The sequence below is a fragment of the Homo sapiens genome, chromosome 12, assembly GCF_000001405.40.
Source record: "Homo sapiens chromosome 12, GRCh38.p14 Primary Assembly".
In the NCBI taxonomy this organism is placed as follows: domain Eukaryota; kingdom Metazoa; phylum Chordata; class Mammalia; order Primates; family Hominidae; genus Homo; species Homo sapiens.
In genome coordinates this window covers 54343397-54366453 of record NC_000012.12, presented here as the reverse complement: position 1 = coordinate 54366453, position 23057 = coordinate 54343397, and the positions used below count along the sequence as shown (strand labels likewise).

Genomic DNA, 23057 nt, shown 5'->3' with positions numbered 1-23057 from the left:
GCCCGCCTTGGCCTGCCAAAGTGCTGGGATTACAGGTGTGAGCCACTGCACCCAGCGATGTATTTTTTGTTTGTTTTTTGTTTGTTTGTTTTTGAGACGGAGTCTCACACTGTCGCCCGGGCTGAGGTGCAGTGGCACCATCTCGACTCATTGCAACCTCTACCTCCTAGGTTCAAGCGATTCTCCTGCCTCAGCCTCCCAAGTACCTGGGATTACAGGCGCCTGCCACCACGCCCAGCTAATTTTTTGTATTTTTAGTAGAGACGGGGTTTCACTATGTTGGCCAGGCTAGTCTCGAACACCTGACCTCATGATCCACCTGCCTCGGCCTCCCAAAGTGCTGGCATTAGAGGCATGAGCCACTGCGCCCAGCCTGTTAGTTTGTTTTTCTAATTTTTCAGAGACAACGTCCTGCTGTGTCACCCAGGCTGGAGTATAGTGGCACAATCTTTCTCACTGTAGTCTTGACCTCCCAGACTCAAATGATCCTCCCACCTCAGCCTCCCCAGTAGCTGGGACTACAGGTGCACATCACCACAGCTGGCTATTTTTTTTTTTATTGTAAAGACAGGGTCTCACTATGTTGCCCAGGCTGGTCTTAAACTCCTGACCTGAAGTCATCCTCCCAGCTCAGCCTCCCAAAGCATTGGGATTACAGGCATGAGCCTCCAAGCCAGGCCTATATAGTATTTTAAAGCAAGCCTCAGCAAACTTTTTCTCAAAGGGCCTGATTATAAATATTTTAAACTGTGTTAATCAAGAGATAAAACTGAGGATATTACATAGGCACTTATATAACAATTTAAAATATAACCATTTTTATTTTACTTACTTATTTATTTATTATTTTATTTTTTGAGACGGAGTCTTGCTCTGTCATCCAGGCTGGAGTGCAGTGGTGCAATGTGATCTTGGCTAACTGCAAGCAACCTCCGCCTCCCGGGTTCAAGCGATTCTCTTGCCTCAGCCTCCCTAGTAGCTGGGATTACAGGCGCACCCATCACGCCTGGCTAATTTTTGTATTTTTAGTAGAGACGGGGTTTTACCATGTTGGCCAGGCTGGTCTCGAACTCCTGACCTCAAGTGATCTGCCCTCCTTGGCCTCCCAAAATGTTGGGATAATGGGCGTGAGCCACTGCACCTGGCCTAAAATATAACCATTTTTAAATGGAAAAAAAACATGATTGGGTCACAGGCTATACAAAAACAGCAGACTAGATTTGGCCCATAGGGTGAAGTTTACTCACCCTTGCTCTGGAGAATCGATTAAGCATTTGCATATTTATGTATCTGTCTCCCCTAGTAGACTATGCACAAGGCCATATATCAGACGTTCTTGTATCCCCAGTGTCTAGATCAGAGTCTGGTGTATAGTAGGCACTCAGTACTAAGTTGTTGGGTAAATGGATAAATGAATGATTGAACAGGACCCTGATCCCTTGAGGAGAATGAAACCAGAATTCTGGATGCCTCATTCCCCACTTTTCTTCATCTGACTTGGTTTCTCAAATGTGCTAGGGTGTCACATGGGTCCCTCTGACTTGAACCATGTCTAAGCCGTGGAGACAAGAAAGGTAGTGCTCCTCTGAAACAAACCCAAGGCTTCTGGGGGTACCTAAAGTTGCTCCTGGAACTTGGTCTTATCTTTTGGCCCTTTGAGGAGTGGCCCAAATGTTCTGATGCTCTGACTCCGTGCCCTAGCAATTCTTGGCAATGATCTTACAGATGAGTTCTGCCATGCAAAGAGGGGAAGAAAACAGAGTTTGGGTTTCAGGAAGGAGAAAGGAAGAGTGAAACCACTCTGAGGTAAGTAGCGGGGGACTTTCAACAGAGAAGCCTAGATTTCACTAGCCGAAGCAAAATGAGTAGGACCGGAGGTGGTGAAGGAAGTGGCTGGGATTGGGTAATGGGGGAGTTTCTTATTCTTTCAGTGGACTATAATAGGATACATAAGAGCAGGATGTCTCCTGCTTGAAGCCTAACTGTCCACCAGAAAGGACTGCTCTTTGGGTGAGTTGAACTTCTTCCATTATAGAAAGAATTGAAGGCTGAGAAACTCAGGTAAGCACTTTTGTTGTGGGTATACTTTTACCTTCTTGGTCTCCTCATCTCCCAGGTGGTAACAAACAGAAATGACTAAAGCCTATATGTGTGTGTAGTGGAAAGGAGCAGAGGGAACTGAATACAGAGAGGATCCTGAATACACGATGCTGAATAGAGAGAGGGGACTCCTGGGGGTCTTTGGGGATGGGGAAGGAATTAAAAAAGTTGGAGGGCACTGGGTTTACTGAGAGCAGCGGGATGGATATAGAAGAGGACTGAGGTTTGGAGCAGAATAAGACTAAGATATTTAGGCAAGAGATATTTAGATAAAAACTTGGGGAAATATTTGAGAATGGGAAAGGACTAAGAGAACCTAAGGAGAGAGTTAGGGATCTTGAGATGAAGAGGCCTGGGAATGGTTCAGGAGGATACTGAATTAAGGTGAGGTCCAGGAACAGTTTAGATGTCCAGGGTCCCAGAACTGTTCAAGAGATCTAAGTTGAATGCTAGGTTCTGATTCCCTCTTCCTCTTCCACCCTCTGCCTCTTTAGCCTCTATCATGTGGAACAGCTCTGACGCCAACTTCTCCTGCTACCATGAGTCTGTGCTGGGCTATCGTTATGTTGCAGTTAGCTGGGGGGTGGTGGTGGCTGTGACAGGCACCGTGGGCAATGTGCTCACCCTACTGGCCTTGGCCATCCAGCCCAAGCTCCGTACCCGATTCAACCTGCTCATAGCCAACCTCACACTGGCTGATCTCCTCTACTGCACGCTCCTTCAGCCCTTCTCTGTGGACACCTACCTCCACCTGCACTGGCGCACCGGTGCCACCTTCTGCAGGGTATTTGGGCTCCTCCTTTTTGCCTCCAATTCTGTCTCCATCCTGACCCTCTGCCTCATCGCACTGGGACGCTACCTCCTCATTGCCCACCCTAAGCTTTTTCCCCAAGTTTTCAGTGCCAAGGGGATAGTGCTGGCACTGGTGAGCACCTGGGTTGTGGGCGTGGCCAGCTTTGCTCCCCTCTGGCCTATTTATATCCTGGTACCTGTAGTCTGCACCTGCAGCTTTGACCGCATCCGAGGCCGGCCTTACACCACCATCCTCATGGGCATCTACTTTGTGCTTGGGCTCAGCAGTGTTGGCATCTTCTATTGCCTCATCCACCGCCAGGTCAAACGAGCAGCACAGGCACTGGACCAATACAAGTTGCGACAGGCAAGCATCCACTCCAACCATGTGGCCAGGACTGATGAGGCCATGCCTGGTCGTTTCCAGGAGCTGGACAGCAGGTTAGCATCAGGAGGACCCAGTGAGGGGATTTCATCTGAGCCAGTCAGTGCTGCCACCACCCAGACCCTGGAAGGGGACTCATCAGAAGTGGGAGACCAGATCAACAGCAAGAGAGCTAAGCAGATGGCAGAGAAAAGCCCTCCAGAAGCATCTGCCAAAGCCCAGCCAATTAAAGGAGCCAGAAGAGCTCCGGATTCTTCATCGGAATTTGGGAAGGTGACTCGAATGTGTTTTGCTGTGTTCCTCTGCTTTGCCCTGAGCTACATCCCCTTCTTGCTGCTCAACATTCTGGATGCCAGAGTCCAGGCTCCCCGGGTGGTCCACATGCTTGCTGCCAACCTCACCTGGCTCAATGGTTGCATCAACCCTGTGCTCTATGCAGCCATGAACCGCCAATTCCGCCAAGCATATGGCTCCATTTTAAAAAGAGGGCCCCGGAGTTTCCATAGGCTCCATTAGAACTGTGACCCTAGTCACCAGAATTCAGGACTGTCTCCTCCAGGACCAAAGTGGCCAGGTAATAGGAGAATAGGTGAAATAACACATGTGGGCATTTTCACAACAATCTCTCCCCAGCCTCCCAAATCAAGTCTCTCCATCACTTGATCAATGTTTCAGCCCTAGACTGCCCAAGGAGTATTATTAATTATTAATAAATGAATTCTGTGCTTTTAATGCTCAGGTGTGGTCTCTGGGGAAGAAGGAAACAGGTCACGGTTAGGCTCAGGGGCCAGGCTAGGAGGAGACCATACTATTCCATCCCTCCTGCATGACGAAATCCTGTCACCATGTGCATGCTCACACATATCCCTAAAGCACCTGTGGCCACCAGGAGCTGGAACCTAATACCTAAGGATTCAGGGGTACCTAGGTCAAAGCAGGAGCAGGAAGCAGCTGGCCTGGGACATAGCCTTTAGAAGAGGGGTTTCTAGGTAATAAAACATGTGAGGTGATTTAAGAGGATTAGCCTGCCTTTTTGTTTAATTTCCCAGAAATGGCCTCTGCCCCTAACCACTGCTGCCAGGATCCGCCATCCCTACAAACAAGTTTATTCAGCTCAAAAAAGTTTTATAATCCAGCTTTGATATCTACTCCAGTGGGACCAGTCCCCCAGCCCTCACTCTGTGCGAAGGGAATGGTCATGGAGGAGGACTCCTTGGTCTGTAGAAATGGAACTGAGCTTAGTTAAGGCAAAGGCAGAAAAAGGTTCCAGCTGCCCTGGCAGGGTCCTGCCCATGGGGCTAATTCACCTGAGTCCCAGGCCCTCAGTTGCCTTGCATTTGTCATCTGGACTTATGAAAGCAAGAGAACAGGCCTGGTGGGGTGTCTCACACTTGTAATCCTAGCACTTTGGGAGGCGGAGGTGGGCAGATCACCTAAGGTCAGGAGTTCAAGACCAGCCTGGCCAACGTGGTGAAACCCCGTCTCTACTAAAATACAAAAATTATGGGCCAGGCACGGTGGCTCATGCCTGTAATCCCAGCACTGTGGGAGGCAGAGGCAGGTGGATCACCTGAGGTCAGGAGTTCGAGACCAGCCTGACCAACACAGAGAAACCCCATCTCTACTAAAAATAGAAAAATTAGCCCGGCATGGTGGCGCATGCCTGTGATCCCAGCTACTCAGAAGGCTGAGGCAGGAGAATCGCTTGAACCCGGGAGGTGGAGGGTACAGTGAGCCGAGATCACGCCATTGCACTCCAGCCTGGGCAACAAGAGTGAAACTCTGTCTCAAAATAATAATAATAAATAAATAAAATAAAATACAAAAATTAACCGGGCATGATGGCGGGTGCCTGTAATCCCAGCTACTCGGGAGGCTGAGACGGGAGAATCGCTTGAACCCAGGAGACAGTGGTTGCAGTGAACCGAGATCGCGCCACTGCACTCCGGCCTGGGTGGCTGAGCGAGACTCTGTCTCAAACAAAAAAAAAAGAAAAGAAAAAGAAAGCAGGAAAACAAAGACTCTAGTTAAAAGGGCTCAGGGGCCAGGCTAGGAAACCATACCATTCCTTCCCTCCAGAATGACCAAATCCTGTCACAATGTGCGTGCTTACACACATCCTTAAAGCACCTGTGGCCACCAGGTGACGCTGGTTCTCTGCGTTTCCTTTCTGGCTTCCCAGTTGAGGACACAAGGCAGGACTGGGAATCCAGAGACCCCTGACCAGGGAGTAGAGACCCAGGGATCTTCACCCTCCCTTTCCCCCAAAGCTTAGGAAGAAAAGTGAAGAATGAGACATTTATTATTCATGAGATATTCCTGTCTACTTGAGGTGGGGCTGGGGGAAGTAGCGGTGTGGGCACTGGGGTGGCACTGGGGATGGAATGTGAGTCATGCTGACCTTAATGCTCTGGCTGCATGTTGTCCCCTCCCTCCCCCAAGTCCATGGTTTGAGAGAACAAAGTAAAATCTGAAGATATTAAGGGCAGAAAGAACCACAGTTGGGGTGGACAGATTGATACCCTCACATGCAACACACTTCTAGGGTCCAGGAATCCTGACTCCTAATATGGAACATGCACTTTTGGTTGTCCTCCTTCCACGAAAGTCACAGGAGCCTAAACCAAATCAAGCTGGGGCTACTAAGGCAGGGGTCCAGGTAAACTGTTGGACCAATGAAGAACAACAGTTTATGGGTGTAGAGACAAAGGTTTCAGTCAAGGCTCTCTCATAGTTAGCTCTCGGAACTTGAGCAGATCTCTGGACCACTCTGGGGCTCAGATTTTATCATCTGTACAAAGCGGGGTGCGGGGTACACTCTTAACACGTGCCCAGTGCAGTTCCCTGTACATATATTATTTCATGTAATCCTCACAAAATTACCATGAAGTATCTATTATAATTTCTTTCTTACAAATGTGAAAACTGAAGCACAAATAGGTTAAGTAATTTGTCCAAGGCCGAATGCCTAGTACGTTGTAAGACCGTGATTTGAGGGCAGAGTCTCAAATCCGCCTTTCTAAAACTAGGATCAAGTGTCCAGATGATCCCTAACTGTCCTTCCTATTCAGACCTTCTAAGATTCTGAAAGTTGACAACTCTGAAGAGTTGTAAAAGGATTCACTTTACATGTCCTTAGAAGGCAAATCACAACGGTGTCAAGTAGAAAGGTGAAGCAATAGGGATTGAGGTTAGACCTCAGAAAGGACTTCCCAATTATCAGTCGCTGGGGGGAAAAAAAAAAAACTCAGGAGACACAGAAGGAAATCCTGGGGTCTAAGACCATAGAGGACAGATCTTAGCAAAAAAGCAGCCACCCGCCACGGCCCACACATCCACCCCAGCCCCTAATTTCAATAAGGGCTGAATGAGGGGAATGAAACTGAAGAAAAGCCAGGCTTTCTTGAGGCCTTCTCTCTCTTGCGGTTGTGCTTGGCGAGTGAGGCCATGCACTGGGTCCCTCGTGGTGCGTTGCTCATGCGTGTCTCGGGATGTGTGTGTGTTTGGAGGCCCTTTATGCTCACGAGTGTGAGTCACTGTCTGTCTCTCTTTGTCTCTTTATCTCTGTCAGTCTCTCGCCCGAGTCCGAGCTCTATCCCTGACTTTCTGACGCTATCTCTCACTGCCTCTCTTTGTCTCTTTCCATCTGTCCGTCTCTCCTGTAGGCTGTCTTCATCTCCTGTACCTCTGTTATCGCCTTTTTTTTTCTCCTAAGCTCGTCTCTCCAATCCCCGCTGCCGCGCTCCCCCCGCCCCCTCCCCAGTCGCCCGCCCGGGCTGTTCTTGCTCGTTCGCACGCTCTCTCTCTTTCGCTGTCTCTTACAGGCAGATTTATGGTCAGCCCAGGGCCTTTCATTGGCCAAGCGCTGACAGAACTTGATTTAACGCCGCCTCTCATTGGCTGAGCTTGACAGGCCGATTTACGAGTCACTCTACCATTGGCCAAACCACCTTGGCCCTGATTTATGGCTCAGCAGCCGCGGGGAGGGGGGTGCAGCTGCTAGGGAGTGAGGAGTGAGGATGCCCCTCCCCTCCCCTTCCCGCCGCGTCCCTCCTCCTCTCCCCCGCTTTTTTCCCCTCTTTCCCTCCCCTCAAGGAATGGCGCTCCCTCTACCTGTTCCTCAGGCCCCCTCCTCCCTTCTCTTTCGTCCACTGGGAGGGGAAACTGGGGTGTGGTGGTAACGGGAACTGAAGGGATGATGGGGTCTGAGGGTACACATGGGCCGAGGAGTCGAGTTTGAGGGGTGTGGATGGGGGCCGACAGGGAGAGCAGAGGAGACTGAACAGGGAGAGAGGATTCCGAGCTGAGGAACGAAGGGGAAACTGAGAGGGCAAAAGGATGACAGAAAGAAAGGAAGGTTGAGGAGAGAAGGAAGGCAGGGGAAGAGAGAGAGGGTTAAGGAGCTAAATGGGGGGTTGGGTAATTTGTCCAAGATCCGAGAAGAAAGAAGGAGAGATGAAGAGAAAGGACACATTTGAGGGGCCACACGGGCTGAAGCAGGGAAATCGGGCATCGAGAGAGGGACTTTTCAAATCTCACTATCCAGACTGAATAAGAGACGGAAATTTCCTTTTCACACAATGGCTCTGAAAAGGAAAAGCATTAGAGAAGCAAAGACAGAGAAAGGCGCAATAGGGAGGTGAGAGAGAGGGAGAAGCAGGAAAGGACAACTGGAAGGTAATAGCAAAGAAAAGAGAGAGGGAGAGCGACAGAGAACTAATGGGAAAGACCAGGAGGAAGGTAGGTTTTTGGTTTTTTGTTTGTTTTTAGGGGAGGGAGGAAAGGTGCCGTGAGAGAAGACTACTCCCCAACGGAAATATTGACAGAAAGGCTCCTCCTCCTCCCCTATGAAGACCCATTGGCGTCTGCAAGGGGACAGACGAGTCAGGCGCCTCCCCCAGGAGATATTCTGCTTCCTCAAGGCTGCAGTAAGCTCCCCATCCCATGCACCTCACTCCTCCCCTTGCCCACCTCCCCAGTTAAATTTATGAGTCCAGGGTGGCCTTCAGGAATTAGGAATATTTATGCTTCTTTGAGAGTGAGATTTAGAAGGTGATAAATAAGGGTCCACTGGGGGGTGCAGCTGGGGGCTCCTATTTTTAACATGGCCATTTTCCCAAGGCCCCACCCACACATTCCCTCTCCTCCTGAGCCAGAGAAGGAAGCACAGACGGAGGTGAGGAATGGGTTTCAGGTATCAGGAAGAGGGGTTGACTATCCTGTAGAGCCCCTCAGAGGACTGCAGAGCTTTGCAGCAGAAAGGATTGAAGGCAGATAGGGGAGGAACTTTCCAAGCATCCTGGCATTCGTATAGCCCCTAGTGTGCAGTTACAACATTTTTGCAGAAGGTGGGGAGAAGCCCATTTCCCCCCTGTCCCCTTAAGCTCAGTTGCTGAGGAATAGGGGAGATAAGCCAGAAAATTCAGAGGCAGATTTCTCTGGCCTGTCACCATCCTCACAGGAAAGGAAGATTTGAAATCCCCCACCTCCACAGACCACAGCCTGGATCCCTGGGAAAGGAGGCTAGGAATGTGGGGCTCAGGGCATCTCCTAGGAGTCTTGGCCTCCAACCTGCCCACCCTCACTGCTGCTGAGAATTAAAAACAGCCAATACTTCTTGACATCCCTTGCTCTGGGCCTCCAGGAAATTGAGAAGGGGTGGTGGATCTGCCTATGGATCCACATACCTTCTGCAGCCCTCAGCTCTAGAAGCCATGTGTCTGTGACCCCCCAACCCAGTGAAAGGGCTTGTTCTGGGTTTGGGTGGGTAGTGAACAAAGATGGAGGTCCATAATATAAGGGAGACCTAAGGAAAACAGAGCTGGGGAAGAGTCACACATCGCCCCCATCCCCCATGCCCTCCAACCGCTATGGCCTTAGCAAGGCTGGCCACAATGCACATGCGTACATACACTAGACTGCTGCCTGGAGTGGCAGGAGGGAGGGAAGGGTCTAGACTGGCCCTTTAAGAGCCACTTAGGGTCAGAAAGCTTGGGCTACAGAGAGGGGAAGGAGCTGATGTCAGAAGACGGATGGGCAGCAAGATGGGGATTGATGCTAATGGGGGAGTTAAAGCTAAGTACCCAGACACTCAGAGGGCAGAACTGCAGATCTGTCTTCCTTATGCTCACCCCCTCTCCAAACCAAGGCTGTAAATCTGCCTCTTCAACTGGGGGAAGGGGGACTGAGGAAAAAAGACATGCTCTCTTCTCCCCTTTCCTGTTTCTTCCTTACTTGGTGTGCCCACACCACCCCCCTCCACCCAATTCTTTTGTCCTCTCCCATTCTCTTGCAATCCACAACCCCTTCCCACTAAAATTTCCAATTTTGGGCTTTGCATCAGAAATTGACAGAATGGTTTCAGCTTGCAGAGGAGTTTAAGAGAGACCACAAGTTTTCCCTCACCAGACCCGGGTGGGAATGCTTGGTGGGATTGTGGTGAGAAACTGGTAGATTGGTAACTCCCAGATCCCTCAGTTTCTCATCCTTCCACTGTCTTCTCACTCGGAGGTAACTCTAGCAGCCGTCTTCCAGGACAATAGGGTAAAGGCAAGAAGCAGGAAGTTGGGTGCCAGGGGCTGGAAGGGGCATGAAAGATTCTGAGCTGGGTTTGTGGAGGCTTCTGACACACTGAGATTCTAGAGGGGCTGGTGGTGGGCTTCCAAGGGCAGCTAGAGAAGCTGCGGGAGCTGTCCACTGAAAGATATACAGTCTGGTTTCTCGGAAACTCCTGGATCATACTGTTCCCTCTCCTCAAGCACACACCCTGTCTGCTGAGTAGAGACAATTTCGGGCCAATAGTGTATTTACTGTAAAGGACCAGCTGCTCCTTGTACCTCTCAGGAGGGAGTTGGGGATCTTAGGGAAGAAGACTTTTTCAGAGGGGCTAGAGCTAGAATTAGCCCTTGGTAAATTTCATTTCTTTCTTCTTTCTTCAGGTGAGACTGTTTCTCCCACCTTTCAGGACCCATAATCACCCCTATTTCCTTTCCTACTGGCAACCAGGGCCTGTTCTTGAGAAGTCCCTCTCTATATTAGAGGACAGTCCCTCTCATCTGTTGCAGTATTAGGCCTGAACTCTTTCCCAGCCCTGGAAACAGTTGGTGCCTGATTGCCTCTAGTTTCCAAATCCTCTTCCATATCCATAAAAGAATAACCCTAAGATATCAATCTCATCTCTTCCTTTCTCCCAGGTTTTCCTTCAGAGGCCTAAAATCACCTCAGGGTCATACTCTTCTCTGTTTTCCAAGTCTTCAGAGACAAGGGAGAGAGGAAAGCTGGAGTGGGAAAATGGGGTTGTGAGCAGCAGCCACTGGAACCCAGCCTTCCAGCCTCCCGGCATCCGGCCTAGTGCTCCCTCCTATCTGAAGGAGGTCAGCCATTGCCCTCAGCCCTGGTCTCTGGCTACTTCTCAATACTGGTGATAAATCCTGTCTTTGTCTCCCCTCTGACCCAGGCCCCAGGCAGGCTGGGGGTCAGAGCTGGGGGAGGGGTCAGTGTGGAGGAAGGGGAGATACAAGGAGAATGGGGAGAAGATAGACAGGAGCAGCTGGTGGGCAGGCATGGGGGGTGGGCAGTGAGGGGATGGGGCTCTTCATTCTACAGATCCTGGACATTCCAGCAGGCCTGCATTCCAAGTGAGAAAGCCAGGATTGCCGAGTTGTGGAAATACCTTTGGAATGGTCCCTTGAGCATCTGGAATACTGGGAGATGGGGGGCTAGTATGGGGTGCCTCAAGGAAAGAGACTGCTGAAAGAAGTGGAAAAATATTGTGGAAATCATCCTATCCATACCGCAGACCCCTGTGCAAATGTGCCATGCGCACACACACACACACACACACACACACTCACACACACAGGACTTATGGCATGAGGGAGCCCCGGAGAGCCAGGCTGCCCTTTGCCTGGCCCCTCCCTAGTGGCCTTCTCTTGCTATGACTTTCCTGTTTCCAACTCTATTCTTTTTCTCTGCTCCCAGTCTTGCCTTCCTTCTTTGTGTCTCTCATTCTCCCAGTTTGTTATTCTCACCGTCTCTCAGCCTCTGCCTCGGTCTCTCAATCACTTTTTCTCTCTCATTTTGTTTCTTTCCATCTTCTTGTCTCCCTCTCGCCCCTCCCCAAATTCTTTGGACGCTGCTCCATCTGTCCTGTTTCTGCCACTCTTCAGCCCAGCCATCCCTCCTACCTCAGTCCCACCTCAGAACCCTGTTCTGACCCAGAGGATACCTTTGGGAGTTAAGATTCCAAGAATAGATGGAAAGGAGAAAAGAGGCTCTGAATGAGTCCCTGCTTTAGTGGGAGGTCTGGGAATCATACTGGGTTATGATATGGCACGGAAGGGCAGGGTGGGCAGAAGGTGACCAGAAAGAGAAGCACAACTAAGGGAGGTAGGGTGAAATGAGAGGGAAGAGATTGAAAAAGAAAAGGCATAGGCCGGGCATGGTGGCTCACACCTATAATCCCAGCACTCTGGGAGGCCGAGGCGGGCGGATCACCAGAGGTCAGAAGTTGGAGACCAGCCTGGCCAACGTGGTGAAATCCTGTCTCTACTAAAAAATACAAAAAAAAAAAAAAAAAAAGCTAGGCATAGTGGCACATGCCTGTGATCCCAGCTACTCGGGAGGCTGAGGCAAGAGAATCGCTTGAACCCGGGAGGCGGAGGTTGCAGTGAGACAAGATTGCACCACTGCACTCCAGCCTGGGCAACAGAGCAAGACTCCATCTCAAACAAACAAACAAACAAACAAAAAAGGACACCAGGCCGGGTGCAGTGGCTCATGCCTGTAATCCCACCACTTTGGGAGGCCAAGGCAGGTGGATCACTTGAGCCCAGGAGTTCAAGACCAGCCTGGGCAATATGGCAAAACATCGTCTCTATAAAAAATACAAAAAGTTAGTCAGGCATGGTGGCACACACCTGTAGTCCCAGCTACTCAAGAGGCTGAGGTGGCGGGATCACCTGAGCCCAGGGAGGTCGAGACTGCAGTGACCTACGATCATGCCACTGCACTCCAGCCTGGGTGACAGAGTGAGACCCTGTCTCAAAAAAAAAAAAAAAAGAAAAGAGAAAAGAAAAGACACAGAATGACAAACACTAAAGAGAGAAGGGTGCGGACTTAAAGTTCTCTCTGTGTGTTTTGGGTCAGTGTGAAGGGGAGGAGCTGAGGGGCATCTCTTAAGTCATATTGAGATACAGGTTCAAAGACAAGGTCTGGAGGCTCAGCCAGAAAGATGTGATGTCCACCAGGCATCCACAATTCTGGACTCTCTGTCACCTACCTAGGAAGTTCTCAGAGACCTTTTTCTCCTCTCCAGACAGTCTTGGAGTGTTGGTTCCTTCCCCATTCACCTCCTCCACTCTGTCACCTCTCTTCCTCCCCCAGTGAGAATGACATCAGCTCTGGCTGCCCCTGTCCTCAGCCCTGTTGCTGATGTACTCTCCCATGGGTGAAACAGAAGGCTAATCACCTTTGCCCCATGCATTCACTCTCTAGTCCAGGAGCTGGAGTTTACATAGCCTAGCACTCTGGAGTAGGAGTGGGAGGAGGCTGTACCAAGAAGGTAGCTGCAGAACATTGTGGGAAAAGAGGGGGCATGGGCATCAGGGGGAGGGAGAGGGAGAGGAGTGGAGGAGGGCACTTGAGGAACAGAGGCAGCAGCAGTAAATCACCCTGTTGGGGGGCTCCCTCTGCCTGAGCTCAGTGGGGTAGGGAAAGAATAGACATAGGGGGGTGGGGGGAAGAATGGGGAATCGCCACATCTGGCAGGCAGGTGTCTGGCACTGTTCAGGCTGTAGCCACTTTCCCAGCCAAAGGGGAGGAAGGGGGAGAGGGGAGGAGGGGCCTCCCAGCATTCCCTGGGAAAGAGGGAAAGGCTCACAAACAGAAAGACAGAGGCTTACAGACAGAAAGAAACCAAGGAAAAGAAATAATCAGACCCTGCTCCCAGGCTCTGCTTCAGTCAGTGCTTGGGGATGTGTTTACTCATAGCCCTGAAAAAAAATTGCTGGCCAAAAGACTGGGTAGGCCAGGGCACCAAAGTTCCATTCATGCTGGAAAACAGAAGGCAGGAGTTTAACCCAGACCAGGCTGGGGAAACTGAAGCTCAGAGAATTCCAAGTTTGAGAACTGGATAGAACTCCACACCATCACAGATCACCACCACCCAGCTCTGGCACTGACACTGCCCCTCCCCCAGGTCAATGCTGTGTGGTGAGTAGGAAGATTAGGATGTTAAGGCTGAGTATTGCTTTTCCCCAGCTCAGACAGGCAAAGACAAAAGAAGTACCTAGTCTTTATCCAAACTCTTGCACTCCAACTTTCAATGCAGGACTGTTGGCAGACGTGGTACACCCAGGTATTTTTCTTTTCTACCTGCTGAGGAGTATCCCATGCACAGGTGCCCCATAGTTGTTGAGCTTAATTGTCAGGTTTTCACAGAAGAGCAGGCAAGACTGGAAAACTCTGGGTTTCATGTTCTGATGCTGGAGAGACTCTCCCCATTCCTGCTACCTTCCTTCCCCCATCCTTTCCCATCTGAGATACTAATTTGGTCTCCCTTGCTTAATCCTGGAATTGCAGGTCCATTTTATGAGCGGCAGAGGTGACTGAGGAGACCCTTCAAACTGCAGTGGAGAAGAGGCTCCCCACACTCCCCCCTCCTTAAAAATCCTGCAGAGGAAGGGGGAAAGAAAACCAAAGCATTCTGTCGCCGCGGCAACCATAAAACCCCCAGCTAAATCCATCTTGTGAGCTCACCGCCCCATTAAGATGCAGGGCCAGGCGCTGCGCCAGCCCAGCCACATTCATTTGTGCGAATAAAGGTGGAGGAGGGGGAGGGGAGCAGGCTCTGGAGGGACGGGGAAATGGCGAGAAGAGGTTATTTACACCACCGTCCTGACCTTCTGGAGCAGCGCTGGCTCCGATAAATAACCCGCTCAGCGCCGTTTCAGAGCAGGAGTGGGAGGTGCAGGAAGTGAGCAAGGGCTGGAGAAGAGCCCCCACGCAGGTGCGCGTCTCTGGGTTACTAATGGCTGAGGCGGGAGCAGGCAGCTGGCTTTGGGGGTGATGGGGGAAGAACTCAGTTCCCTGGGACTCCCACTGAGAAAATACCATCCCCACCCCACCCCTGGCGCCAATTTCCAGGCGAGGGGACGGAGAGATGCCAAGGAGGCAAACAGCCCCGTAAATTAGGGATGGGGGGGCACTGCTAGGAGTCTCTGAGGTAGGAGGGAAGAAATATTATAAGATGGGGAATGACGGGGGGCTGGAGGAACAGGAGTAGCTGCCAAAAAGAGAGGAAGAGAAACAGAAACATCACACAAAGGCAGTTTGGAAAAAATGTTTTATTCCTCTTTGCACAGAGCAGTTTATGAAGGTGGTTTTCTCCTGACTCCATGCATCTTTTACACAAAGATGCCCCCTTAAATATGCCCCGTTATCTGCCCCACCTCAGTGCTGGAGAACTGGCAGTTAGTAAGTGGGGCAGAATGCTTAAGTCTCAGGAAGGTTTTTAAAGGCATTTTTGTGGGGAGGAAGTTCTGGGTCAAGGGGAAAGATTAGACCCAAGAGTGAGTATTCCATTCTCCATCTTCCTGGGGAAATCCAAACCCCAAAGGTTTTATGAAGAAAAGCACCTCTCTCAGCGACCTAGAGACAGGGAGAGCACAGACCTACTGCTTGGGTGTAAGGCTGAGGCAGAGAGAGGGTAGGTTGCAGCGACTGCAGACCCACGGCAGAGAGTAAATGCATGTCGGGGAGCTGAGGGGACAGAGACAGCCTAGAGGCCCAAGTCATAAGTTCCACTCCTTCCCCAGTTCTGAGTAGAAACTTTTCTTCCCAAGACTAGAATGGAGTTTTAGTTTTAGGAACTGGCTTTGCTCCAGGACACAGAGAAGACAAACCAGGCAACGATCCCACAGGTAGTAAGGGTGGACAGTTAAGGTAGCTAACTAAGAGATGGACACTCGCCACTGCAGTTTTGAAGCTATATGCCAGATCAGGGTACAGAATGCATTTTATATGCCCTGTTCAATACAATTTAAATCGCTGTTTCTTCCATGTTGTCCCTTCCCTATGAACTATTCCCAAAGCCTCTTCCAAGGCAGAGGACAGGGCAGTAAGAAGGAATGGAAGAAAACACTGAGGTCACTAAGTGGGGTTAGGGCTTAGATTGGATAAATCCCTACCCATCCCCGCCCCCACTCGTTCTATAGAAAAGAATTCTCTTTCTCTCTCCCCTTGCTGGGCTGTTGGGATGAGGGCCAGGTAGAGGCAAAGGGAGGAAAACACTCAGCACATTCTTTCTCCTACTTTAATCTGAAGTGTAGCTACAGCAAAGGGCACAGAATTTACAAAAATGTCAGGGCAAGGGAGCATGTGAGCATAATCCAGTCTAGAAAGAAAGAGGGTGCTTCCCCTGCCCTATTATCTAAATATGCTGGGAGCTTTACTCCCAGAACTGCAAGAAGAATGAAAAAGAATAGGAAGGGTGTAGGGGAGGTTGAGGGGGCAACCACAAACAGAATGGAGATTTAAGGATCCCTGTGATCCCCGAGATGACCCTGAGAGCATCGATTGGGGAACTAGATGAAAATTCACAGCAGACATGCAAATTTTTTGAAGAGGATGAAGAGCCAGGAACAGTGAGGTCTTCACCGAAGGAGTGACCACTTGATCTGTTCTTTGGCTGACTGCAGCACCTGCAGAGATAAGAGCAGCATTGAGGAAAGCTTGCTGACAGGGCAGGGTAAGGATGAGGGCTGGGGATCTCCTTCCCCTCACTTGTCTTCCCTGTCCTTAGAAGAATGGAGAATAGAAAATCCCCAAGGGTAAAGAGATGGGAAGAAGCTCTCTAAGGCCCTAGCAGATTGTTTGGAAAATTCCAAAAAAATTCAAACCCACTGAGGGGATGAAGAGAGAAGAGGTATACCTGGTATAAAAGAAAAAAAAAAAGGGAGTTACTGGACATATGTTAAAAGGGGCGGCGGGCAGGGGGCGGGTAACAAATCCAGATGGACTTCTTGGTGAGAATTCCAAGTGGGTAGAAAACGGAACCCCTCCCTTCCCCCTACATCAGGTAGACAATCTATCTGCAGTCAAGGTAGCAAGATGGATCTGCAAAACCTGCATATTCTAGAATATGCATTTCCAGCTTAGCCCTCAATTGAATAATAAGAGAAAGAGAGTGTGTGTGCACAAATGCACACAGACCATCTGCTTAAGGCAAGCCTCTGCTGGGGAATAAATCACTGAATGAGGCATCAGGCAGGCAGGGAGGGTTTGAAGGGTACAGAGCAAGGCTGACAGCCACTGCTCACAGGTAACTGAGAAAGGAGTTGGAAGTAGGGGTAGGGAGTGGCTGGCTGTATGAGTCCCAGTTCTCTGGAATAAGAGGGAGCCAAGGAAGATGTGTCTTGAGTCTCTAGTTTCACTCAGATTTGAGAGGTATGGGTGGAATGCTGTTCTAGCCTCTTTAGTGACCCAGTCCATCTGGAAAGGAAGAAGGGAGAGTCATACCTGAGACACGGTCTGCTCCGTAAGGGGGACATCTTCACCCTATGGCACAGAGATACAAGCATTTAGTGTGGGAGAAAGCTGGAGTAAGACCTGATTGGAGTCTGGTATTAGAGAAGAAAAAAGTGATCCTTTAAACTGAAACAAAGGGCAGATGCACTGAACTTCTCAGTCCCTTCTAGGGACTAGTACAGCTACAATTTTACTTGGCCAGAGGGACTATGAACAAAAAAGGGTCATTTCATCCAGCTTCCATTTTAAGGCAGGAGGACTTCTTAAAAGATTTAACTCCATTCAGAGTAACCAGCAGGTTATCTGATCCTCAACTCCCTTAACGTGGGGGTGGAGGACCTGATTCCCTAGTCAGAAAAGGCCTTTTCTGAATATCAGTATCACTAGGGAAAGGATGAGGGGGAGCCAGGAGTGGTTTAATGGATCCCGCAAAGCCTGATGGGTAACGACAGCATGTTAATTTGAAGAAATAAACTGCTGCAACAGCAGCCTAAGAAGACAAAGCGGGGAGTTGATGGGGGGGACCCTCTCTCTTGCCACACAGAGACATATGTTAGAGGAGAAGATTAAACTATGCAAATGGAGCCCACAGCAGTTAAGAGAGATTTCCCATTACCAAGCACTGTCAGCCTTCACTCTGTGGAGGTCAGAGCCAGGACATTCTGTGAATGGGGAGATTTGCTTTGCTCAGACATCTTTGCACCCGTATAATTTGTTGGTGGGCTCTCTCTGCATCCACCATTATCTCCTCAGCTGACCTGGGGCCTTCTATGGTTAACTCAGAGGCCCCTTTCTGATATCACCAGCACCAAAGAGGACTGAGGTTCTGGCAAATAAGTACTTCCTAATGGAGAGGTACCATCCTCAGTTATGTAACACTTTATTATTATTATTTTATTTATTTATTTTTTTTGAGACAGAGTCTCACTCTGTCGCCCAGGCTGGAGTGCAGTGGTGCAATCTCGGCTCACTGCAACCTCCACCTCCCGGGCTCAAGCAATTCTCCTGCCTTAGCCTCCTGAGTAGCTGGGATCACAGGCACGCACCACCATGCCCAGCTAATTTTTGTGTCTTTAGTAGAGACAGGGTTTCACCATGTTGGTCAGGCTGGTCTCGAACTCCTGACCTTGTGATCCGCCAGCCTCGGCTTCCCAAAGTGCTGGGATTACAGGTGTGAGCCACCACGCTCAGTCCTATGTAACACTTTAAAAGACAAAACAGACACTCCTCTGCCTCAGATGACTGGATCCATCTCCAAGAAGGGAATAAGCCAACTTCAAGTTGCTTTATAATTTCAAAACCATAAATATTAAAGTTTATTTTATCATTTATTAAATAAGTATGTATTAAATGTCCACTTTGTGCAAAGACTGTATGAGATGTTAGGCACCATATTAGGGGTAGAAATAAGTTATTTCTGCTTCTTTCTTTGGGACAATAAGAAGAGAAGGGAAGAGAAAGGCTGAATGTATTTGAAAGAAAAAGAGAAGGTTGTATGTATCCTATGAGCCCCAACTACTGGACACATCCAGCAGGTCTGGCTCTGGAGGGTGTTTGTGAATAGATGCGGGGATGCAAAGAAACACATTCTTGCTTACCCTTAATGCCACCCGGTGTACCACCTGCTGGGGATCACTCTCTAGGATCACCCTGCAAAAACAAAGAAGAGATCATTGTTCACTCTGTCCCGAAGGCCCAACTCACTGTCGGGGAACAGGACCTCTGGCCACTGAGCCTGCTTGACTTAGGACAGGGGCAGTTATCCCGCCACCTCACCCAAGATCAAGGCAGGTCAGAGAACTTACCCTCCATCTACAATTTCATCCACAGCCAAGAACAGCCCCTCCATGTTCTCCAGCAGTGCTCGCTTTTCTACATTTTTCCTGAGTCCCCAAGAGAAGAGAAGAGAATAACCAACTTGTATGTGAAAGAAATCCTAGGACCTTGTCTCAATTGAGGAACCTAAACTAGACCAATAAACATCTCCACCAACCACACAAAGAAGTAAATAAGGTGAAGAACTTTTTAGCTAGTTCACTCAAAACCCCTTTCTACTCGTTTGCTGAATAAGGAATGTATGGAAAGAGATTCAAATAACACAGTCAATTTCTGACTATTCAGGGGTTGATTATCCACGCTATTATTTCTTTCCTACCTGCCATGATGCTGCTCATAACATTGCTCATAAACACTGACATCAGTGGGTGGAAAAAAACAATATAAACAGAGCTAAGACTCAGTCTGGAGGTGGCCGGAGGTGAGAGGGGTTCAATGCAAACCTTATTTGTACTCAAGCTCTGACAAACCTCCTGAGACATTCTCTGTTCCCTCTTCTCCCTATCCCTTACCAGCTCTGCTCAGGCCCTGAAAAGAAGCCCAAAGAGGGGGCAGGGTCTGCATACACCAGCCTCAGATCCGTTGGTTGGTGCATGTGGCCTGTCACATCTGTCAGTTTGAGTCTTTCACTAGATTACCCGAATGAATTACTATTCATTCACCTGGATAAGAAATAAATCATCCCCTTCCTGAGGAAATCTGAGCCATTCACCCTGCTGATTTTGCAGGGCTGAGAGTGCCTGCTGTTCTGGTCTGGATGGCTGTCTGTACTGGGTTCACTTGGGAGCTGCTGGGGGAATGAAGTTCAGAGCCCTGGATGTTTTCAGGAAAAGTAACTTATATCTCTTCTATTACCCATCTACACGGGTAACAGAGAACAGAGGGCTAGTGGGAAGGTGGAAAGGGAGGAGAGGGTAAATGGCAGAAGCTTCCTGTTTTTTGTTTTGTTTTGTTTTTTGAGACAGGGTCTTGCTATGTCACCTAGGCTGGAGTGCAGTAGCATGATCACAGCTCACTGCAGCCTCAACCTCCTGGGCTCAAGCAATCTTCCTACCTCAGCCTCCCAAGTAGCTGAGACTACAGGTATGCACCACCACACCTGGCTAATTTTTTTATTTTTTGCAGAGACAGGGTCTCACTGTGTTGCCCAAGCTTGTCTTGAACTCGACTCATGCAGTCCTCCTGCCTGGGTGCTTCCTGTTCTACAGAAGGGAAAAAACAAGGACTAGAAGTCAAAAAAAAACTGGTCTAAGTGGCTCATGCCTATAATCCCAGCACTTTGGGAGGCCAAGGTAGGTGGATCATTTGAGGTCAGGAGTTCAAGACCAGCCTGGCCAACATGGTAAAACCCTGTCTCCACTAAAAATACAAAAATTAGCCAGGCGTGGTGGCACGTGCCTATAATTGCAGCTACTCTACTCGGGAGGCTGAGGCAGGAGAATCGCTTGAACCTGGGAGGCAGAGGTTGCAGTGAGCCGAGATCACGCCACTGCACTCCAGCCTGGGTGACAGAGTGAGACTCCATCTCAAAAAAAAAAAAAAAGAAAAAAAAATTGGGAGTGTTGCTTCCATTCCTGAAGTACTGAATGACATTTCATCTGGGACACTTCCTTATGCTTGGCCTTTCCCTACTTCTAATGTCAAGAATGAAGCCCAGGAAAGCACCTTGAGGATGCTCAGATCTGACAGGACCACAGGGGATTACAAGAGTAAACACAGAGGTAAAGATTCGGCTCCCTCCCAGTCCCCTTACTTAGTAAGAGAATTATTCTATGGGAGGGACATACTCTCCATCCAGTCCTCCCCAGTAGCATGAATTACTGTGAATTAATAAACCCAACTTTTTTTTTTTTTTTTGAGACAGAGTCTCACTCTGTCGCCAAGGCTGGAGTGCAGTGGCGCGATCTCGGCTCACTGCAAGCTCCGCCTCCCAGGTTCATGCCATTCGCCTGCCTCAGCCTCCCAAGCACCTGGGACTACAGGCGCCCGCTACCATGCCCGGCTAATTTTTTGTATTTTTAGTGGAGACAGGGTTTCCCCATGTTAACCAGGATGGTCTCAATCTCCTGACCTCATGATCCGCCCGCCTTGGCCTCCCAAAGTACTGGGATTACGAACGTGAGCCACTGAGCCCGGCAAAACCCAACTTCTAAAACTAAATCAACTCCCTGGAGCCTTTGCCAATCCCCTACAATCCCTGGGCCTGAAGAATGGTTACTTTATCTCCCAAAAAGAAATCAACAATGCCCTGCTCTTTCCATCATAACTTGAGGGGAAAAAAAAGAATGTCCTGCTCACCTCAGCATCTGGCTCAATGAGTCGAAGAGACAGTTCAGAACAGCCATAAGCATCAGCTGTTGGGAAACAGAGGAGGCAGAAGGATAAGGTTCAAGGCCCTGAAAGCTGCTACCTAAAAACAAAACCTCCTAATTCATTAAACATCAAAAGACACAGGCTTTCACAAAGGACCAAAAACATAAAGTGGAAGTGAGAGCACAACAGGAAAAGGATCTGTGATTTCTCACAGAAATAAATTCTGCTACATGATTCCACAATTCAACATCTTTTAGCCAAAAGTTTAAACAGAACTTCCCTGTCACAGTCCTCTACAATGTCTTCACCAACTGTATATGTGTTACCTGATGTCTTAGGTAGAGAAATTACTAACCAAGCAATAGCTGAGGTCAGAGGAAGGCTTCAGAGTTAGTGTAAAAAGCATGGACTTTAATTGGCTGGGCACAGTGGGTCACACCTGTAACGTCTAGACCCTGTCTAGACTCTGACTCTATCCCAGCACTTTCGGAGGCTGCAGCAGGCCGATTGCTTGAGCTCAGGAGTTGAGACCAGCCTGGGCAACATGGCAAAACCCTGTCTACAAACAATACAAAAAAAAATTAGCCAGGCATGGTGGTGGGCACCTGCAGTCCCAGCTACTTGGGAGGCTAAGGTGGTAGAATCACTTGAGCCTGGGAGCCAGAGGTTGCAGTGAGCCAAGATCGCACCACTGCAGTCCAGCCTGGGAGACAGAACAAGACCCTGTCTCAAATTTTTTTTTTTTTTTTGAGAGTCTGGCTCTGTCACCCAGGCTGGAGTGCAATGGCGCAATCTCAGCTCACTGCAACCTCCACCTCCCAGGTTCAAGCAATTCTCTTGCCTCAGCCTCCCAAGTAGCTGGGATTACAGGCGCCCACCACCACGCCCAGCTAATTTTTGTTGTTGTTGTTGTTTGTTTGTTTGAGACGGAGTCTCGCTCTGTTGCCCAGGCTGGAATGCAGTGGTATGATCTCGGCTCACTGCAACCTCCGCCTCCCAGGTTCATGCCATTCTCCTGCCTCAACCTCCCGAGTAGCTGGGACTACAGGTGCCCGCACCACGCCCAGCTAATTTTTTGCATTTTTAGTAGACATGGGGTTTCACTGTGTTAGCCAGGATGGTCTCAATCTCCTGACTTCGTGATCCGCCTGCCTCGGCCTCCCAAAGTGCTGGGATTACAGGTGTGAGCCACCATGCCTGGCCTGTATTTTTAGTAGAGATGGGATTTCGCCATGTTGGCCAGCCTGGTCGCGAACTCCTGACCTCAAGTGATCCGCCCACCTTGGCCTCCCAAAGTGCTGGGATTACAGGTGTGAGCCACCACGTTCGGCCTATGTCTCAAAATTTTTTAAAAAGCATGGACTTTAAGTCAGACAGATATGGGTTGGAATCCAAGCTGAGCCATTTTCTACATGTGTGACCCTGAGAAAGTTACTAGGTTGAACCACATCAGATAACTGCCACTTTTGTACTTTTCTCAATGGTCACATACAAGTAATTTCATATAGTTCTTCATGGTTTGGTTTCCTCATTTGTAAAACAAAGGCACCAATGCCTACAACTCATAGAAGTGCTATGAGGTTTAAATAACAATATACTTTACAAAGCACTTATACCAATAATAAGAGCTCAGTAAGAGTTGACTTTCTCAAACTTTCACTTTTGCCTCAAATTATCTGGGGGCTTATTTTTATTTATCTATTCTCCTAGAAGTTGCTATCTGAGGCAAACAGCTTTTCCTGCATATAGGAAGCAGGTTAGGACTATACCCAAGGTCTTCTCCAGTGATCCATTCAGAATGTATGGTTTCAACATGACCCAGGTTGTTAGCTAATTGGCTCAAACTCAGTCAGGTATGGACCCTTCATAGAAGAAGCAAGTATCCCCCTGCAGTCTTGACCATACCTCAGAAATCCATCTTAAAAAACACTACTCAGGGAAAGGTATTAAAACATATATGATGTTTCCTAATGGATGCAAAAGATTAATCTAGGAAAACTTCCTTTCTAGGCGATTCATTTGCCGGGCCATGTTTGTGAGGCTGGTGGGATCTCTGACAACTTCATTAGCTTGGTCAGAAGCCAGAGGAACACGGCTCTATTAG

At 49.1% G+C, this 23057-nt stretch overlaps 2 protein-coding genes, 1 long non-coding RNA gene and 1 pseudogene across 10 annotated transcripts in view, besides 7 other annotated features; 1 reads left to right on the top strand and 3 right to left on the bottom strand.

Annotated features, from left to right (window-relative positions):
- The window catches only part of GPR84-AS1 (GPR84, ZNF385A, ITGA5 and GTSF1 antisense RNA 1), a 113340-nt gene extending 100577 nt beyond the window's left edge, over nucleotides 1-12763 (bottom strand). For both annotated transcript variants that reach the window (NR_120486.1, NR_120487.1), the window contains exon 1: nucleotides 12558-12763. This is a non-coding gene — a long non-coding RNA (GPR84, ZNF385A, ITGA5 and GTSF1 antisense RNA 1). The remainder of the gene's footprint in view (nucleotides 1-12557) is intronic.
- Nucleotides 1950-2039: an enhancer, noted in NCBI's record as "active region_6441". NCBI's record gives its function as "activates an Ori minimal core promoter by ATAC-STARR-seq in GM12878 lymphoblastoid cells {active_cell/tissue: GM12878}" and the evidence as "EXISTENCE:reporter gene assay evidence [ECO:0000049][PMID:35858748]".
- GPR84 (G protein-coupled receptor 84) lies at nucleotides 1968-15756 on the top strand. 3 transcript variants are annotated; one of them, XM_047429017.1, is made up of 3 exons: nucleotides 1968-2061; nucleotides 2595-3550; nucleotides 13859-15756. In XM_047429017.1, the coding sequence occupies exons 2-3, from the start codon at nucleotides 2603-2605 to the stop codon at nucleotides 13886-13888; spliced, it is 978 nt and encodes a 325-aa protein (XP_047284973.1). In that variant the 5' UTR covers nucleotides 1968-2061; nucleotides 2595-2602; the 3' UTR covers nucleotides 13889-15756. The 3 variants fall into 3 exon arrangements, with proteins under 3 accessions (XP_047284973.1, XP_011536797.1, NP_065103.1); XM_011538495.3 differs by lacking the exon at nucleotides 13859-15756 and having other exon boundaries at nucleotides 1968-2010; nucleotides 2595-4009; NM_020370.3 differs by lacking the exon at nucleotides 13859-15756 and having other exon boundaries at nucleotides 2595-4009.
- Nucleotides 6828-7007: a silencer, noted in NCBI's record as "silent region_4527". NCBI's record gives its function as "represses an Ori minimal core promoter by ATAC-STARR-seq in GM12878 lymphoblastoid cells {active_cell/tissue: GM12878}" and the evidence as "EXISTENCE:reporter gene assay evidence [ECO:0000049][PMID:35858748]".
- Nucleotides 7035-7859: an enhancer, noted in NCBI's record as "OCT4-NANOG-H3K27ac hESC enhancer chr12:54752379-54753203 (GRCh37/hg19 assembly coordinates)". NCBI's record gives its function as "activates a minimal SCP1, AML or CMV promoter by ChIP-STARR-seq in naive and primed H9 embryonic stem cells {active_cell/tissue: H9 hESC(naive and primed)}" and the evidence as "EXISTENCE:reporter gene assay evidence [ECO:0000049][PMID:30033119]".
- Nucleotides 7158-7227: a silencer, noted in NCBI's record as "silent region_4526". NCBI's record gives its function as "represses an Ori minimal core promoter by ATAC-STARR-seq in GM12878 lymphoblastoid cells {active_cell/tissue: GM12878}" and the evidence as "EXISTENCE:reporter gene assay evidence [ECO:0000049][PMID:35858748]".
- Nucleotides 7238-7477: a silencer, noted in NCBI's record as "silent region_4525". NCBI's record gives its function as "represses an Ori minimal core promoter by ATAC-STARR-seq in GM12878 lymphoblastoid cells {active_cell/tissue: GM12878}" and the evidence as "EXISTENCE:reporter gene assay evidence [ECO:0000049][PMID:35858748]".
- Nucleotides 7860-8684: an enhancer, noted in NCBI's record as "H3K27ac-H3K4me1 hESC enhancer chr12:54751554-54752378 (GRCh37/hg19 assembly coordinates)". NCBI's record gives its function as "activates a minimal SCP1, AML or CMV promoter by ChIP-STARR-seq in naive H9 embryonic stem cells {active_cell/tissue: H9 hESC(naive)}" and the evidence as "EXISTENCE:reporter gene assay evidence [ECO:0000049][PMID:30033119]".
- Nucleotides 8685-9510: an enhancer, noted in NCBI's record as "H3K27ac-H3K4me1 hESC enhancer chr12:54750728-54751553 (GRCh37/hg19 assembly coordinates)". NCBI's record gives its function as "activates a minimal SCP1, AML or CMV promoter by ChIP-STARR-seq in naive H9 embryonic stem cells {active_cell/tissue: H9 hESC(naive)}" and the evidence as "EXISTENCE:reporter gene assay evidence [ECO:0000049][PMID:30033119]".
- COPZ1 (coat protein complex I subunit zeta 1) overlaps nucleotides 14608-23057 on the bottom strand; it is a 26716-nt gene continuing 18266 nt past the window's right edge. For 4 of the 5 annotated variants that reach the window (NR_073424.2, NM_001271736.2, NM_016057.3 and 1 more), the window contains 5 exons: nucleotides 20939-20994; nucleotides 18610-18687; nucleotides 18403-18454; nucleotides 16796-16834; nucleotides 14608-15978 (listed from right to left, as the gene is read on the bottom strand). Coding sequence is in view for 4 of the 5 variants with exons in the window: in NM_001271736.2 (NP_001258665.1) it covers nucleotides 15931-15978; nucleotides 16796-16834; nucleotides 18403-18454; nucleotides 18610-18687; nucleotides 20939-20994 (273 nt within the window). In the remaining variant the exon portion in view is untranslated. The remainder of the gene's footprint in view (nucleotides 15979-16795; nucleotides 16835-18402; nucleotides 18455-18609; nucleotides 18688-20938; nucleotides 20995-23057) is intronic. The other variant, NM_001271735.2, reaches the window with a different exon arrangement.
- On the bottom strand, nucleotides 21578-21844 carry RN7SL744P (RNA, 7SL, cytoplasmic 744, pseudogene; annotated as a pseudogene).

Excerpts from the sequence above, each read along its gene's own strand:
- GPR84 (XM_011538495.3), top strand. The coding sequence starts at position 2,603 with ATGTGGAACAGCTCTGACGCCAACTTCTCCTGCTACCATGAGTCTGTG.